This window comes from Homo sapiens, chromosome 17 (genome assembly GCF_000001405.40).
Source record: "Homo sapiens chromosome 17, GRCh38.p14 Primary Assembly".
In the NCBI taxonomy this organism is placed as follows: Eukaryota; Metazoa; Chordata; class Mammalia; order Primates; family Hominidae; genus Homo; species Homo sapiens.
Window position 1 is genome coordinate 20,183,278 of NC_000017.11, and position 17,241 is coordinate 20,200,518.

General features: G+C 41.0%; 1 protein-coding gene across 34 annotated transcripts in view, besides 1 other annotated feature; it reads left to right on the forward strand.

Annotated features, from left to right (window-relative positions):
• The window catches only part of SPECC1 (sperm antigen with calponin homology and coiled-coil domains 1), a 309,668-nt gene that overhangs the window by 173,919 nt on the left and 118,508 nt on the right, over positions 1-17,241 (forward strand). The gene's annotated exons all lie outside the window — the stretch shown is intronic.
• Positions 6,019-6,313: a silencer, noted in NCBI's record as "tiled region #374; K562 Repressive non-DNase unmatched - State 8:EnhW". NCBI's record gives its function as "represses a minimal TATA promoter and a strong SV40 promoter by Sharpr-MPRA in K562 cells {active_cell/tissue: K562}" and the evidence as "EXISTENCE:reporter gene assay evidence [ECO:0000049][PMID:27701403]".

The window sequence follows — 17,241 nt, forward strand, 5'->3', positions numbered from 1 at the left end:
TTGCAATCTTTTTTATAAAGCAATCCGGCAATAATTTTGAGATTGAAAATATGTTTCTCTTGAGGAATCCAGGAATTCTGTCTTGTAGACATAAAAGCACAAGTACATACTTAACGTTGCAAATGTAGGAAAAGTTTGCTAATTGCAGTACTTTTTTTGTTCTGGCCCGAATCTAGGAATACTGAATGTCCCTCAGTAGGAATTGGTTAAATAAATTATAGTACAGTCATCCTCAGTATCCTTGGGAGATTCATTCCAGAATCTCCTATGGATACTAACATCCACAGATAACTCAAGTCCCTGATATAAAATGCTATAAAATGGCATAGTATTTGCATTTAAACTACGCACATTCTCCCATATAGTTTAAATGATGTCCAGATTACTTATACTACCTAATACAATGTAAATGCCGTGTCATTTGTTGTTATACTGTATTGTTTAGGGAATAATGACAAGAAAAACATGTCTATATACATTCAGATGTACCCATCCCTTTTTCCCCCAAATATGTTCTATCTGTGGTTGGTAGAATTCTGGGTGGGGAACCCAGAAATATGGAAGGCCGACTATATCATTCTTATGAAATTTTATTAAATAAGAATGATGTCAACCGGGCGTGGTGGCTCACGCTTATAATCCTAGTACTTTGGGAGGCCGAGGCAGGCGGATTGTCTGAGCTCAGGAGTTCGAGACCAGCCTGGGCAACACGGCAAAACCCCATCTCTACTTAAAAAAAAAAAAAGACAAAAAATTAGCCAGGTGTGGTGGCACGTGCCTATCGTCCCAGCTACTCGGGAGGCTGAGGCATGAGAATCGCTTGAACCCGGGAAATGGAGGTTGCAGTGAGCTGAGATTGTGCCACTGCACTCCGGCCTGGGTGACAGAGCAAGACTCCTGTCTCAAAAAAAAAAAAAAAAAAAAAAGATGTAGAGGTAAGAAATATTATTAAAAAGGACAAGTGAGAGCTATTTCCTGAAGCTATGACCAGGATGTATTATCAGGTGACAAATATAACTCACAAGAGAGTGTTTACACCTTTATGTCATAGTGCCTATGCTGTGATCCCAAACGAAAGGCTAAGCATGTTTGTGTCAACACAGAGAGAATGTATTCTTGGAAGAATACATTCTTTCCAGGCTGTTCATAATGATTATCCCAGGCAAGTAGGGGATTTTGATTATTTTGCTCTTAGAAACAGCATGTATTGTTTTTATATGTGAGGGCTTAGGGGAGTTTAGTGATTAAAAGTATGAACTTTGGAGCCCGCATTTCCTGAGTTTGAATTCCAGCTGAAGCTGTGTGATCTTGGGCAAGTTATCTCTACTGTGCCTCAGTTTCCTCCTTGGTAAAATATTTGTAGAAACAGGACCTACTGTATATAGTTTCAAACAAGTCAGTATATGTAAAGTATTTGGTACCGTAGAAGTTCTACATGAGAGTTCTATATAAGAGAGGGCCGGCTTTATTATTTTTAAACATTTTAAGTATTATTATTAAAGTAAGTCAAGGGTAGAGGAAAGGTCATTGTATTCTTTCCGTGGTAAAGTGCTGAACATATTTTCATCAGTCCTAGAGCTTGATTTTGAAGAACATGGTGATGCAGCAAAATATTTCTTAATTATGCCTTTGCCTCGTTTTCAGTGGAGTGAAGAAACAGGATCAGCTGGCCTGAGAAAGTGCGAAGCACAGAGTTTTGTATTTAACAGCGAGTGGGCTTTATAGCTGTCTTCACTGTGTTTTTGGAATTGGCTGATTGTCCACAGAATTCACACTGGTTCGATGTCTAAACACTTCAGTGATGCAAAAATCAGTTTGGGAAATAGAGACACTTGAATGAATGGGTTTTGAGATAAAAATCTGTCTTGTCATCCTCCTGAGGTGGAGCAGATTGCATTTTCCAGCTGAGGCTGTGACTCTCCCTTGTCCCACATGCCCTCCTACAGTGTGACTCTGCCACTTCCTCTGTTAAGGGATCTACTTCTTGAATTTGGGCAGCCCTAGAACCGCTTCAGCTGGTAGAAGAGGGTGGAAGTGCTCCTCTGACTGCTGAGGCTAAATTATAAAAGGCTGTGCAGGCCCCTCTTGTTTGCGGGGGCACTTGTGCTTGGAGCCGTGAGCCGTTCTGTAATAAGTCCAACCACTGTGAGGCTACCATGCTGGGGAGACTACCACATGGTGCTCCAGCCCACAGTCCGTGGAGCTGTCATCTCAGCCAGGGTTTCGGATGGCAGGAGCCACCTCCTAGTGTCTATGTAAGAATGGCCTAGCCAAGCTCTTCCCAAATTCCTGACCGGCAAAATGATCAGAAAATAAAACGGTTGTGTTAAGTGATGAGGTTATGGGGAAATTTGCTCTGAAACAGTGGTGGCAGGAATGTAAGGGTTAGTAAACAGCAGCGACTCTGTGATGAAGGAATTCATTCATTCATGTTGGAAAGACCTTTGCAGAGCCAACCTCCACTACTCCTTGCACCCAGATTGATGGTCCCATGAACCAGAAGCATTTGTCTAGTGATAATCACAGGAGTCTTCAAGTGTGGTGTCCTGTTTTGTATTTTTATTTATTTATTTTTTTTGAGGCAGAGTCTCTCTGTGTTGCCCAGGCTGGAGTGCAATGGCACGATCTTGGCTCACTGCAACCTCTGCCTCCCAGGTTCAAGCTATTCTTCTGCCTCAGCCTCCTGAGTAGCTAGGACTACAGGCGTGTGCCACCACACCCAGCTAATTTTGGTATTTTTAGTAGAGGCGGGGTTTCACCATGTTGGTCAGGCTGGTCTCGAACTCCTGACCTCAGGTGATCCACCCTCCTCGGCCTCCCAAAGTGCTGGGATTGCAGGCATGAGCCACTGCACCCAGCTTGTGTTTTGTATTTTTTATTTCACGTTGCATTTTAACTACAGACACATCTTGGTGATGTTGTGAATTCAGTTTCAGACCACCACAATAAAATGAATTACATGAGGTTTTTGGTTTCCTGGTGCATACAAAAATTATGTTTACACTATATTGTAGTCTGTTAAGTGTGCAATAGCATTACATCTTAAAAAAAGCAATGTACATGCCTTAATTTAAAAAATATTGCTAAAAAATGCTAACGAAGTAAGCCCATTCTGTTGGAGAAATGACACTGATAGACTTGCTCGATGCAGGGTTGCCACAAGCCTTCAATTTGTAAGAAATGTATTATCTGCAAAGCACAAAAAAGCAAAGCTCAATAAAGCAAGTGCTTGTATTGTGTCTCATGTATACTAAAAGTATGCCAAATGGTTTACGTGATTTTTGTATGTATGTATCTGCTTATGAGACAGGGTCTCACTCCCATCGCTCAGGCTGAAGTGCAGTGGTACAATCACAGCTTACTGCAGCCTTGACTTCCCAGGCTCAGGTGATCCTCCCACCTCAGCCTCTCCTGAGTAGCTAGAGCTGCAGGCAGACACCACCACACCTGGGTTTTTTTTGTATTTTCAGTAGAGATGGGTGTCTCACTATGTTGCCCAGGCTGGTTTCAAACTCCTGGGCTCAAGCAGTGCTCCTGCCTTGGCTTCCCAAAGTGCTGGGATTATAGATCATAGGTGTGAGCCACTGAGCCTGGCCAATTTTTGTTTTTAATTGTTGCCTGATGTCCCCTGCTGGGTCCTGAAGTCTTTTGGGTTGGTTTGTTTTCAACTGGCACACTACACCAGTTCTATGTGCTGTATTAATTATACAGGTTTGAGTATCCCTTATCTGAAATGCTTGGGACCAGATGTGTTTTGAACTTTGGATTTTTTTTTTGTATTTTGGAATACTTGCATTATACTTAGCAATTGAGCATCCCTAATCTGGAAATCTGAAATACTCCAATGAGTGTTTCCTTTTATGGTCATGTCAGCACTCAGAATGTTTAGGGTTTTGTATTTTTTTCTGAATTAGGGATGCTCAACCCGTACCAGTATACTACACCAGGGAACTGACTCGGCATTGGTCAGACCACATTTTGAACACTTTTTGGTTGACTTCCCAGCATTTAACCCCGTCTTCTCCCAGGAATTCTCTTTAGCTAATTCCCACTTTAAAGTGAGTCAGCATATCACCCTGGTCTCAGTGAGTCAAGGATGGCAGAGACTCAATCAGAATGAGTGTTGAGTAGATGTTTTTTGGGGTGCCTGGGAGAGAGTCCCCGCTCTTTGCTGGATTTGATGGTGTGCAGATGTGAGCCCTGGAGCTGCCAGTACCATCACATAGCCATGAGGGCAGGCAGCTTATTGATGAAGGTGACCTGTGGAGGAAGGGAGGAGCAGAAGATGGAGAGAAATTGACCCTGAGAGAACATCTTTCAGTTGAGCCAGACCTGAAGTTGGACTTGATCCTAGACTTTCAGTTATGGGAGTCAAAACCTCTTTTTATTGTTGTAAGCTTGAGTTGGGTTTTCTCTTGCAACCAAGAGATTTTTAACTCACAGAAACCCACATCTGCAGTGTTTCTGAGATTCTGGGTAATATTTCAGAGGGACCTTGGTAAATCAGAAGCTCTCTAGGCAGTTTATCCAATGAATGGACCCCGGGACCTATGAGGCCTGGTGGGAAGAATTAGGAATGTTTTGAGTGAAGATTTAGAAGACCAATGGGGAAACAAAGCTGCCTGCAGACATTCAGATGTCACGTGGAAGAGGCAATAAATTTGTTCTTTGTGGTTCCAGAGTGTTTCAGAACTGGAATCGGTGTGTGCCATGTTAATGAAGATATAGAATTCAGCCTCATATAAGGAAGGATTGTCCAACTATTTGAGCTGCTCAACAGTGGAAGGGGCTGTCTAGTGGTGGGTTTCCTTTTACTGAAAATATTCAATGGTAACTGGAACATGAGACTTTAGTAGATGGCAACAGAAGTTGGATGCTATTGATGCCACTTTGAATGAAAAATTAGGTTATATGATTTCTGTTTCTTCCAGTTCTGAAATAACGTGATTTTGTATTTCCTTAGGTATCAAAAGACATCCTTTTTTTTTTTTCTTTTTTTGGGACAGAGTCTCACTTTGTCACCCAGGCTGGAGTGCAGTGGTGTGATCTCGGCTCACTGCAGCCTCTGCCTCCTGGATTCAAGTGATTCTCCTGTCTAAGCCTCCGGAGTGGCTGGGATACAGGTGCGCACCACCACGCCTGGCTAATTTTTGTATTTTTAGTAGAGACGGGGTTTCACCATGTTGGCTAGGCTGATCTCGAATTCCTGACCTCAGGTGATATTCCTGACCTCAGGTGATCTGCCTGCCTTGGCCTCCCAAAGTGCTGAGATTACAGGCGTGAGCCACCGTGCCCGGCTTGTATTAGAAGATATACTTATGATGTGACCGTTGGGCAAATTATGAAGTCTCTCAGACTTTGTTTCTTTATCTGTAAAATAACAATAATAATACTTTTATGAACTGAGTTTTGTGTGCCTCAAGTTAATGTATGTGAAAGTGCTTACAAAACCAAAGTGCTACACAAAGGTAAAGTGCTGTTATCCTTCCTACATAGTAAACTCCGATTCAAAGGATACGGACGATTCCTTAAATTTCTTTGTGTGTTTTGACCCATGGGTGCTTTGAAAAAACAACTCCCACCCCCAAAGTGATATTAATAGAAATAAACAGGATTTTGCGTGCCCAGTCCATCTAATTATCTAATTTCTCCAGTTACAAATTCAGGTGAATTTATTATGTTTTCCTGGTAGAACTTGGAAGTTTCTCAGTGATCTCTGTGAGGTATAACTGAGGTACACCTGAGCCATAACTGTAGGAAGTCAGGGCCTGATTATGATCTAGACTAGACTAGGTGGTTCTCACTTGCATCGAGCCTCCGTAACCTGGAGGTTAGCTTTTCCCATCTGTCCTGAAAGTAAGGCTGCACGTGAATATGGCAGATCTTTTAGTTCACTAAAGCCTGCACCCTCAGCTCCTCCTTATTCTCAGTGTTTGGTGCCTGGAGACTGTGGGCTTTATTTTCCCACAGTGCTGCTGGGAGATTTCTGTTCAGAGGTGCCAAGCTCTCTAGTTAGGCAATGAGGATTTCATTTGGCCTACACAATGGGCAAGGAAGCTAAGGCGCAGTATGCAGAGAGAATTCTGGGACGAAGCGCTCCTCCAGCCACTTCAGTTTCAATGGAAATTTGATGTCCCTGCCTGCTTTGCACTTTTCAAATGGCCTGTCAGGAGTTGCCCTCCCAGAGCTGCTTGGCATTCTGGCTTCTCCTGGAGATGACTAATGGCAGCTGGTTGTGTGGGCCGCCTGCTAGAAGCTAGTCAGACCATACCATTATCTCTCCTCAGAAACACTGAGGCTTTGTCTGCTGCCCTATCTCCCCTGCATCCTGACACAGAGCGGTCACTGTGTCCTCTCCAGGCCTGAGCCCCTTCTTAGTGTTAGGGGGCTTTTGTTCAGAAGCTTTATTGTCCCCCTCTTTCTGGAGTGCTGTTCATAGTGGCCGTGGTACAGCATGAGTATTTGGGAAACAGGAGGAGTAGATTTACAAGCATTTTGAATTCTAATCCAATTTGCTGAGCAAGTGGAGTGTGAGGAAAATTAATTTTGCATTCTTCCCAAAAAAAGTAAAATGGAGATGAGATAGAAAATGTTTATCCCTTTACAAAAATCATCTTTACACATTGACACTGCTGTTTGCTTTTAACAAAGGAAGTAAAATGGGTGAGTAATTTGGTTCATTTGCATGAGTGTAGGACTCTTTTGTGTTTTTTTCCCTCCATTTGATTTGCAAAGACAATTTCTATTGACTTTTAGTACAAGTTAGGTATGAATCTCTAGAAAGCACACCACTGAGACGACCCAAAAGACAGTCCAGCTGTGGAAAAAACTACTTTTCTGTCATAGTCAAGGTGGGGCCCCAAGATTTGATAACAGACTTAGTTCCTTATGGCTGTGCATCTGCTTGCTGAATTGCCTCAAACTTCTGTTATCTCATTTGTTCTAAGTCCAAAGGATCAGTGCTGCCTATAAAGCTGACGGATTGCTAATTGCCTGTTTCCACACTGTACTCATAAACATTCATATTTCTTTTTCCTAATTTTCATTATCAAAGTAGTATATACAGGGGTTAAAATAATGAACCAGGACAAGGAGCTTATTATGAAAAGCAAGACTGCTGCTGCCCTGCTGCCCTACCCCTTCCCATTTCTTGTCCCTCTTCTCAAAGGTAAACACTTTATTATGCTTTTACTGCCTTCTAAAAAAATAAACACTCTTTTTTAAAGAGCAGTTTTAGGCACAGCAAAATTGAGTGAAAAGTACAAGTTTTCCTATAGTGTACTCCTGTTCCCAAACACACTCAGCCTCCTCATTATCAACATCTTCCAATCAGTGAACCCACACCGATGTAACATTGCTCAGAGTCCGTGGTTTACATTGAGGTTCACTCTTGGCATTGTGCATTCTGTAGGTTTGGATAAATGTATAATGCCATGTATCCAAGTTTTTTGTAGAGACAGGGCCTTGCTGTCTTGCCCAGGCTGGTCTGGAACTCCTGGCCTCAAGCAATTCTCCCACCTTGCCTCCCTCCCTTGGGGGTGGGGGATGAATGGGCAGGCACAGTAGCTCACCTGTGCCTGGCTCTACTTATTCATTCCTCCCTCCCCCCAACCCCTGGCAACCATTGATCTTTTTGCTTTAGCAAGCAAAAGGACCATAGTTTTACAAAACTACGGTCTCTGTAGTTTTGTCTTTTGCAGAATGTCATAGTTGGAATCATACTGTGTGTAGCTTTTTCAGACTGCTTCTTTAACTTAGTAAATGCTTCAGTTAAGGTTCCTCCATGTCTTTTCATGGCTTAATAGTTATTTCATTTTAAGGGGTGGATGATACTAATAGTCCATTATCTGGGTGTACCACAGTTGGTTGCTTCCAAGTTTTGGCAGTTATGAGTAAAGCTGCTGTAAAGATCCATGTGCAGGTTTTTGTGTGGACATATGTTTTTGACTCATTTGGCTAAATACCAAGGAGTGCTATTGCTGGATCATAGAGAACAAGTATGTTTACTTTTCTAGGAAACCACCAAACTGTCTTCCAACGTGGCTGAATTATTTTGCGTTCCTACCAGCAATGAGTCCCGGTTGCTCCACATCCTCACCAGTATTTGGTGTTCTTATTGTTTTGGATTGTAGCCATTCTAATAGTTGTGTAGTGATATCTCACTTTTGTGTTAATTTGAAATTGCCTACGGATGTATGATGTGGAGCAGCTTTTTTTTTTTTTTTTTTTAATTATACTTTAAGTTCTGGGGTACATGTGCAGAATGTGCAGGTTTGTTACATAGGTATGCACATACCATGATGGTTTGTTGCACCCATCATCAACCTGTCATCTACATTAGGTATTTCTCCTAATGCTATCCCTTCCCTAGCCCCCCCACCCACTGACAAGCCCTGGTGTGTGATGTTCCCCTCCCTGTGTCCATGTGTTCTCATTGTTCAGCTCCTACTTATGAGAAAGAACATGCGATGTTTGGTTTTCTGTATATACCCCTTAATGGGATTGCTGGGTCAAATGGTATTTCTAGTTCTAGATCCATGAGGAATTGCCACACTGTCTGATGTAGAGCAGCTTTTCATAGCTCATTTTCCATCTGTATTTCTTCTTCGGTGAGTTGTCTATTCAGGTGTTTTTCCATTTTTAGTCAGGTGTTTCGTTTTCCATTTTTTTCTTTATTGAGACAGTGTCTCACTCTGTTGTGCAGGCTGGAGTGCAGTGGTGCAATTATGACTTACTGCAGCCTTCACCTCCTGGGCTCAAGTGATCCTTCTTCTTCAGTCTCCTGAGTAGCTGGGACTACAAGTGTAAGCCACCATGCCCAGCTAATTTTTGATTTTTTTGATGAGACGAGTCTCACTATGCAGGGAGACCCCTTGAGACAGGGGTCTCAAGGCTGCCCAGACTGGTCTTGAACCCCTGGACACAGGTGATCCTCCCGCCCTGGCCTCCCAAAGTGTGCTGTGCTGGGATTACAGGTGTGAGCCATTACACCGAGCCCTCATTATCTTACTGTTGAGTTTTGAGCATTCTTTGTATATTTTGGATAACAGTCCTTTATCGGATATGTCTTTTGCACATATTTTCTCCCAGCCTGTGGCTTGTGTTCTCATTCTTTTGATGTTGCTATTTTTTTCCCCAATTTTGTTGATTCCTCTTATGATAGATGAGGATTTAACACATGGCCCTGCAACCCTCTCCTAGTGTCATAATATCACTGTTTTTAGTTTCTTTCTTGGTTATTGCTTTTAGTAATGTATTTCATCTTTATTTCTTGTCTTGTCAACTGTATATAGTATCTTTGACACCCTGTTTGTAAGGTGAGGGTGGATATTATTGCTGCCATCCTTTTTGCCCACTCTCTCTGCTTTCTCTTCTACCTCCCAGTTTCTTTCATCTGTACTTTACCTTTTTCACTAGCAAGGATGACAGTATTCATATGTTCTAGAAAATAGTCTTGCATGTTCTGTGTGTAGTATGGATATTATTGTGACTACATATATATTGTGCCCTGCAGAGTGAAGTTATGTGCTGTGATTTTGTTATCTGTCTTATACAGCTTATTTTTATGAAGTTTCTTGTTTTGTGACTATTTTTGTTACAGGAAAGGGGGCCCGATCCAGACCTTAAGAGAGGATTCTTGGATCTCGCACAAGAATGAATTCAGGGCAAGTCCACAGTGCAAAGTGAAAGCAAGTTTAGTAAGAAAGTAAAGGAATAAAAGAATGGCTACTCCATAGAGCAGCCCTGAGGGCTGCTGGTTGCCCATTTTTATGGTTATTTTTTAATGATATGCTAAACAAGGGGTGGATTATTCATGCCTCCCCTTTTTAGACCATATAGGGTAATTTCCTGAAGTTGCTATGACATTTGTAAACTGTCATGGCGCTGGCAGGAGTGTAGTAGTGAGGACGACCAGAGGTCACTCTTGTGGCCATCTTGGTTTTGGTAGGATTTAGCCAGCTTCTTTACTGCAGCCTGTTATATCAGCAAGGTCTTTATGACCTGTATCTTGTGCCAACCTGTTATCTCATCCTGTGACTTAGAATGCCTTAACTGGGAATACAGCCCAGTAGGTTTCAGCCTCATTTTACCCAGCTCCTATTCAAGATGGAGTTGTTCTGGTTCACATGCCTCTGACATTTCCCCCCTCCCTTTTATAAGAGAACGCTTAATCCTAAGGGTTGCGGAGGGATGAAGATTCATCTTCTATAACTCCTTCAGGCTGAATAGAGGTGATGATATTCCTGCCTGACTATTAGGGTCTCTTACATTCAGAGTAGAGAGGAGCAGAGTCAGAAAGCATCAGTATGGTAAGGTCCATTCATAACTCTTGAGTTTCGACAGAGGGTGGTATCTGGAAGATGAATAAGAGTTTAAGAAAACATTCAGTAAGCTTGTCCTGTATTCCTACACAAAAAGTATAACAGCAATATATTCCACAAGAGTAAAGCAAAATAAGTAAAGTTATTCCAAGTAAACTAAATTAGAAGACTTTCCATGAACTGGGCAACTGTTGGAATTAAGCTGATATAGGGTTGTTAGCTGATTGTAATGTGCCCAGAATTAGAATACTAATCCAGATTTTTACATTATCCATCCCTCTTGTTTCTTCTGAGCAGCAGTCAGAGATCACTGGTAGGTTCACAGGAATAAGCAGGTGTAGACTAAATTGCAGAAACAAACTGAAAAACAGATGAGACTAGAATTTAATAACAGGTGTACCATAGTTCTTGAAACATATTTCTCTCTCCAGTTTTCCATTTTTACGAAAGACAAATTATGGTAAGACTGATTTGTTTTATTATACTTGGCCTGATAATTTGTATAAAGTGCAGCAAGAATAATTATTTTTCACATAGGCTTTTTAATTGACTTTAATGGAACTCTGTTTTGTAAGGGATCTCAGATAAGACTTTTTAAAAGCTGAGCCCCATCATGGGTTTGTACCCTCAAATACCTATGAGTTGGGTAAATTCCTTTCTTTTTGAGGTCCCAGGATAACTTGGGGCTCTTCGACCTGTGAGAAAGTGACATTCTTTACTTACCCCAAGTCAGAAACCTTGAACAGGGACTGTTGTAGACAAGGTGTGAGGCCAGTTCCACACAGGCTTTTATTGGCTCTATAAATCAAGTTTAATTCCTTAAAGGAAAACACACCATTCCAGTCAAAACCTTGGTAACATAACCAATTTCTCCAATTGTGTTCTGTTAGAAAAGAGAACGAATTTTTTTTTTTTTTTTTTTTTTTGAGACAGAGTCTTGCTCTGTCACCAGGCTGGAGTGCAGTGACATGATCTTGGCTCACTGCAACCTCTGCCTCCCAGGTTCAAGCGATTCCCCTGCCTCAGCCCCCTGAGTAGCTGGGACTACAGGTGGCGCCACCACGCCTAGCTACTTTTTTGTATTTTAGTAGAGATGGGGTTTCACCATGTTGGCTAGGATGGTCTCGATCTCCTGACCACGAGACCCACCCGCCTCGGCCTCCCAAAGTGCTGGGATTACAGGTGTGAGCCACCATGCCCAGCCAAGAAAACAGATTCTTATTGCACCTTTGCAAATAACTATTTTGCTGTAAGTTAAGAATACTCACAACTAGTTGCCAAATTCTGGAGAAATCAGGTAGAGAGAAACAAATATGCTCAGAATTTTGTGCATAGGAGTATATAAACTGTTAAGAGCTATAATATAAATAGCTCAAAAGGAAAGTTTCCTTGACTCTGAAAAACAAAGGATCAGTAGTGTTTTATGCAAAGTTTGAAATATTACTTCCGTTTTTTATTGGTTCAGTGAATTTAGGTAACTCCTGTTTTGCTTGATATTCATGAACATTTCATCTCTCCATGAGAGTCCTGAAAGTTTTTCCTCTATTCTGTTGTTACGCTCTCCAAAGTTACAAGAAAACATGCATTGAAGAACACCTGTTAGAGTTCTATAATTGATTATAAACCACCTTCTAAAGGAGATTAAAACAAGACAGTCATCTCTGGATGATAAAAAGCTTTAGGACAGCCACTATTAAAGCCACATTTGATAAGGAAATTTTGTTACTTCTGTGATACACAGAATTTTACATAACAATTATAATTATTAATAACACACTAAATAATATTAGAATTATAGGAGTTTCCCATAACTTTAGAATATACCAATAACACATTTATGTAAATATAGTCCAAAGAAAGCAAAACACCATTTCACATTCGATTATGCTTCCTGTATGATTTTTATATCAAATAAGCCAAATGTCACTGTTGTATTAGTGCATTATAGATATAAAACCCAATTTTTTTTTTTTTTTGAGACGGAGTCTTGCTCTGTCACCCAGTCTGGAGTGTAGTGACGCTATCTTGGCTCACTGCAACCTCTGCCTCCCGGGTTCAAACAGTTCTCCTGCCTCAACATCCTGAGTAGCTGAGACTACAGGCACCAGCCACCACACCCGGCTAATTTTTAGTATTTTTAGTAGAGATAGAGTTTTGCCAATTCTTAATAAAACCTTATAAATAAATAAATCTTTCCAATCTTAATCAGTTTGACCATAAGGTAAGATTCTCATAAACTTTTTATAACCCTTTACAAGTTTTTGTTAAAGAGCAGGTCATAAGCAGGTTTTTGCTCTAAGAAACCAATTTTAATTTATAGAAAAGCTGAATAATACCCCTTTAATTTAGCCAATGTCCACACACTGGCTATTTTAATTTGCTCTAAGAAACCAATTTTAATTTATAGAAAAACTGAATAATACCCCTTTAATTTAGCCAATGTCCACACACAGAATCTCTTTTACAATTAATTTTTTACAAACCTTCCACAACTGTTCAAACCTTTAGCTTTATTCTAACTTAAAGCAATTCTTTAACCCTTTAGGCAAAAAACCCATATTCCCATGCCTTCTTATAATCTTTTACCAAAAATATATTCTACTTTCCTTACACACCTTACAGGTAAAACTATTTCTTCAATAGTCTCAATTACATGTTACAATGTTAACTTTTAGCAACTTTTATTTTTGGTGAAAACCCTGGTTAGTAAGCAATTTTAATTGTGTATTAGGTGTGGAGCCTAGCCTTAGGACACGCCAGGCAGAAGTGCAGATAAGGGCTGACTCTCCAGCATAGCTAGGGGGCATGGCTAACTCCACATGTCCCCAGGCCTTACCTTACTTAAGCAGGCAAGTTATACAGTAAGAGTCATAGTGGCATTTTATGACGCATTTAGGAGGCCTAACAACCTTTGAATTGTGCAACATTTCTTGCATAAATTTTCTTTCAAAAATCCTTTCACGACTTACACAGACCATCTGAGACATTCTTGGACTTTCTGACTTGCCCTAAACATCCCTCCTTTTAAACAACCATTTTATTTTAGGAGAAGAATTTACCATACCAAGATCTTTTCTTATATAAAATCTTTCTTTATAATCATCTTTGTATAGCTAGGGGGCATGGCCAATTCCACATGTCCCCAGGCCTTATCTAGAATCTAATGGCTTTAAGGCAGGTAAATTGAACAATTTTTAAAAGTTAAACAGTTTATGACCTTAAAGCATTTAACAAACTTAATATCTGACCTGCATAATTTAGACTGAATGTTTTTATTTTATCAGTAATTTTTAAAGCTGTTTGTATTTCCCGAAGATTACTAAGATTACATGAACTAAAAGGCATTACAGTTTTTGTTTTGCTTTCAAAATATTTGATTTAAGCACTTATTTTTGTTTCAGCCAATTAGACTTCTTTTATATAAACATTACACATAATATGTATATAGCTACCCAGAAAGAAGAATATTACTACAGTAGTTGTAAGATTTTTCATTTGCCAGTTTTTAAGTTTCTTAATTGGATTACTGGCTTTAAGGTGGAGCCGTTGGAAGAACAGGGCCAGGAAAGGGGGTCCCTGGTGCCTCCTGTTTTTCCCAAGGAGTTCAGGCTGTTAGAGCTTGAATATCTGCTTTTAATTAAACTGATTTTAACCATAGCACTCTTTAACAAAGTCTTTTTAGAATTTTTTATGCCAAACAGCCAATATTTCTGGCTTTTGAACTTTACCTAAGGTAACCTCCAAGGTGCTTAGAGAAAGGAAAATTTAAGACAGTCCATGGAGGAGAAGAGAATAGACAAGGTCACACAGATATTAAACCAGAAACGACTTCCTAGGGAAGGAATCAAACCCGAACTGCTACTGTGAAAGTGCAAAACCCTGGCTTCTGAGCTACAGCACGGGACAGTCTCTGTTTCCTTTCCTAGAAGGAATTTAGAGTAGTTAATTTTGAGCTTGCAAAGGCTTTTAACTAATATGATTTTTAGATCTAACTATGACATGAACCCTAAAATTCCTGTTCCCTGGAAGGCAGAGACCAAAAGTACTGCCACATGGTTACAAGGTCAAGCTCCCAAGGACATAAACAAGGTGGAGACTTCATCCACTTTTTTGTTTGTTTCAGGGATCTGTAGCCAAGTTTGTTACTGACCAGCTAGCTTGCTGGCTTATCTTGAAAAGTGGGCCTGCAGGTATTCTAAGCCCGTGTTTTATCCTAAAGCACCCCTTGACACGGAAAAAGAAATTCATAGCACAAAATACACCAGCTTAAGACTAGCCTTAGAATTTTTTTTTGCATTAATCAAAACATTACAGAGGAGATAAATACTGATTTTTCCCCCCATTCATTCAACTGTTTGCATAGAGAGTGAGAAGCTAGAAATCTGACTGGCAAGAAATTCTTACCCTTTGGCCAGCATGCCAGGCTTCTGGGTTCCCTTTCCCTGAGTGGCACTAGTGATCTGGCTTGCAGCACCATTGCCCTGGGGGCCAAGCCTCATCATAAAGGAAAATTACTTTTTTTTGTTCTGGCCAGAGCAAAATACATGTGATAAGACATAGACATTAGCCACTCTGCTTAACACCCAATATCAAACTGGTGAGGCTTAAATTTGCCCCCAAATGGGCCCCGTCATCTTTAATCCAGCCTCAGACTTACGTGGCCTCTGGGCAAGGTGGTTGCCCTGAGTAACAGAAAAGATAGGAAAGGAAAAGTAGAGAGAGAAAAGCATTGCCTGTAGCAGGGTGGGGAAAGCGAAATGATCAGGGAGGTCAGAGAAAGACCCACCCATTGCAGTGACATTGAAAAGTTCAGGTGGCTGCTCCTCAGTAGCAAAGGGATCTTTTCCAGCCATCCCATCAGCTCTTAAGTTTCCCCTTTTAGGGAAGAAAAAGTTCCCCATGTCCCATAGTCCTGTACATACCTGACTCTGTCACCCACAGCCATTAGCAAAGAGTGCAAGGCAGATTAATCCAAAGAGAATAGCAGTTAACATCCCATAGTGCCAAACCTGTTCTTACCCAAGAAGGCCTTTACTGAGACGGGCCTCTAACCCCCTAAATCTTAGAAGGGACTCTATCCCTCATAAGTTGGACCTCTAACCCTTGCCTTTTATTAAGAGGGGCACTTTGTCCTCTTGAATCAGAGACTAATTTTTCAGACTTGTTTCATGGATATCATTTTGAGACTTCTCTTGACTGGTTTCCTGTAATAGAGCCACTGCTTTCTCTTCCTCTTTGGTTTCCTCCCTTGTTTTTCTGGAACACATCCTCAAATAACTTCCTTAGAAAGGGTATTAACAGTTTAATTTTCTCAGTTTTTGCATGCTTTAAAATGTATTCTACCTCTGTGATTGATTTATAGTTCATCTGGGTAGAGAAATCTAGGTTGAAAGTCATTTTCCCTCCGAACTTTGAAGGCTTTTGCTTTGTTGCCTTCTAGGCTACATATGTGGTAATGGAATTGCAGGATCTTATGGTAGCTTTTTTTTTTTTTTTTTTTTTTTTGAAACAGAGTCTTACTCTGTTGCCCAGGCTGGAGTGCAGTAGTCTGATTTCAGCTCACTGCACCCTTCGTCTCCTGGGTTCAAGCAATTCTCCTGCCTCAGCCTCCCAAGTAGCTGGAGTTACAGGCATGTGCTGTGGCGCCCAGCTAATTTTTGTATTTTTAGTAGAGACAGGGTTTTGCCATGTTGGCCAGGCTGGTCTTGAACTCCTGACCTCAGGTGATCCACCTGCCTCGGCCTCCCAAAGTGCTGGAATTACAGGCGTGAGCCACCGTGCTGGTTTTTTTTTTTTTTTTTTTTTTTTTTTTTAAATAGAGACAGGGTCTTTCTCTGGTCACCCAGGCTGGAGTACAGTGGTGTAATCTCAGCTCACTGCAGCCTCAAACTCCTGGGCTCAAGTGATCCTCCTACCTCATCCTTCCAAGTGGCTGGGACCACAGGTGCATGCCCCCATTCCCAGGCTAATGTTTAAATATTTTTGTGTAGAGATAGGGTCTCACTCTGTTGCCCAGGCTGTTCTTGAACTCCTAGTCTCTAGTGATCCTACTGCCTTGGCCTTATTTTAAACTTTTTGAGGAAACTCCATACTGTTCTCCATAATGGTTGTACTGATTGACATTCTCACCAACAGTGTACAGGGGTTCCTTTTTCTCCATATCCTCACCAATACTTGTTATCTTGTGTCTTATTTTATTTTATTTTTTGAGACAGAGTCTCGCTCTGTTGCCCAGGCTGGCGTGCAGTGGCGTGATCTTGGCTCACTGCAACCTCCGCCTCCCGGCTTTAAGTGATTCTCTTGCCTCAGCCTCCTGAGTAGCTGGGACTACAGGCGTTTGTGGCACCACCGCCCGGCTAATTTTTGCATTTTTAGTAGAGATGGGGTTTCACCACGTTGGCCAGGATGGTCTCGATCTCCTGACCTTGTGATCCACCCGCCTTGACCTCCCAAATGTAGTACCCATTCTAACAGAAGTGATATCTCATTGTGGTTTTAATTTGCATTTCCCTGATGATTAGTGCATTTTTTTCATATACAGTTTGGCTAACTCCTGTTTTCTAATTTATTGCACAGATGTAATCATAAAAGAGAAACAGTAACATTACTCACAGACCAACCAGCTTAATACTCAGCTGTTCTCAATATCATGTGTTCTGTTATAGTTTGTGAATGCTTATTTTATATGAATTCTATGAATGCTTAGTTTGATGTACTCGTGATTGACCACAGTATAATTTTTCATTGGCATTTAAAAAATGTCACACTTCAAACATGTTTCTTCTTTATGATTGTGTTAATCTTCATAATTATGAGATGGAGCTTGCTTTTATGTTAACTTCTTGGAATCAGCCAGCCTCAGGAGGATGGTACACATAAGTGATGACGGGGTGGGAGCAGCACAAAAGATCCAATGGTG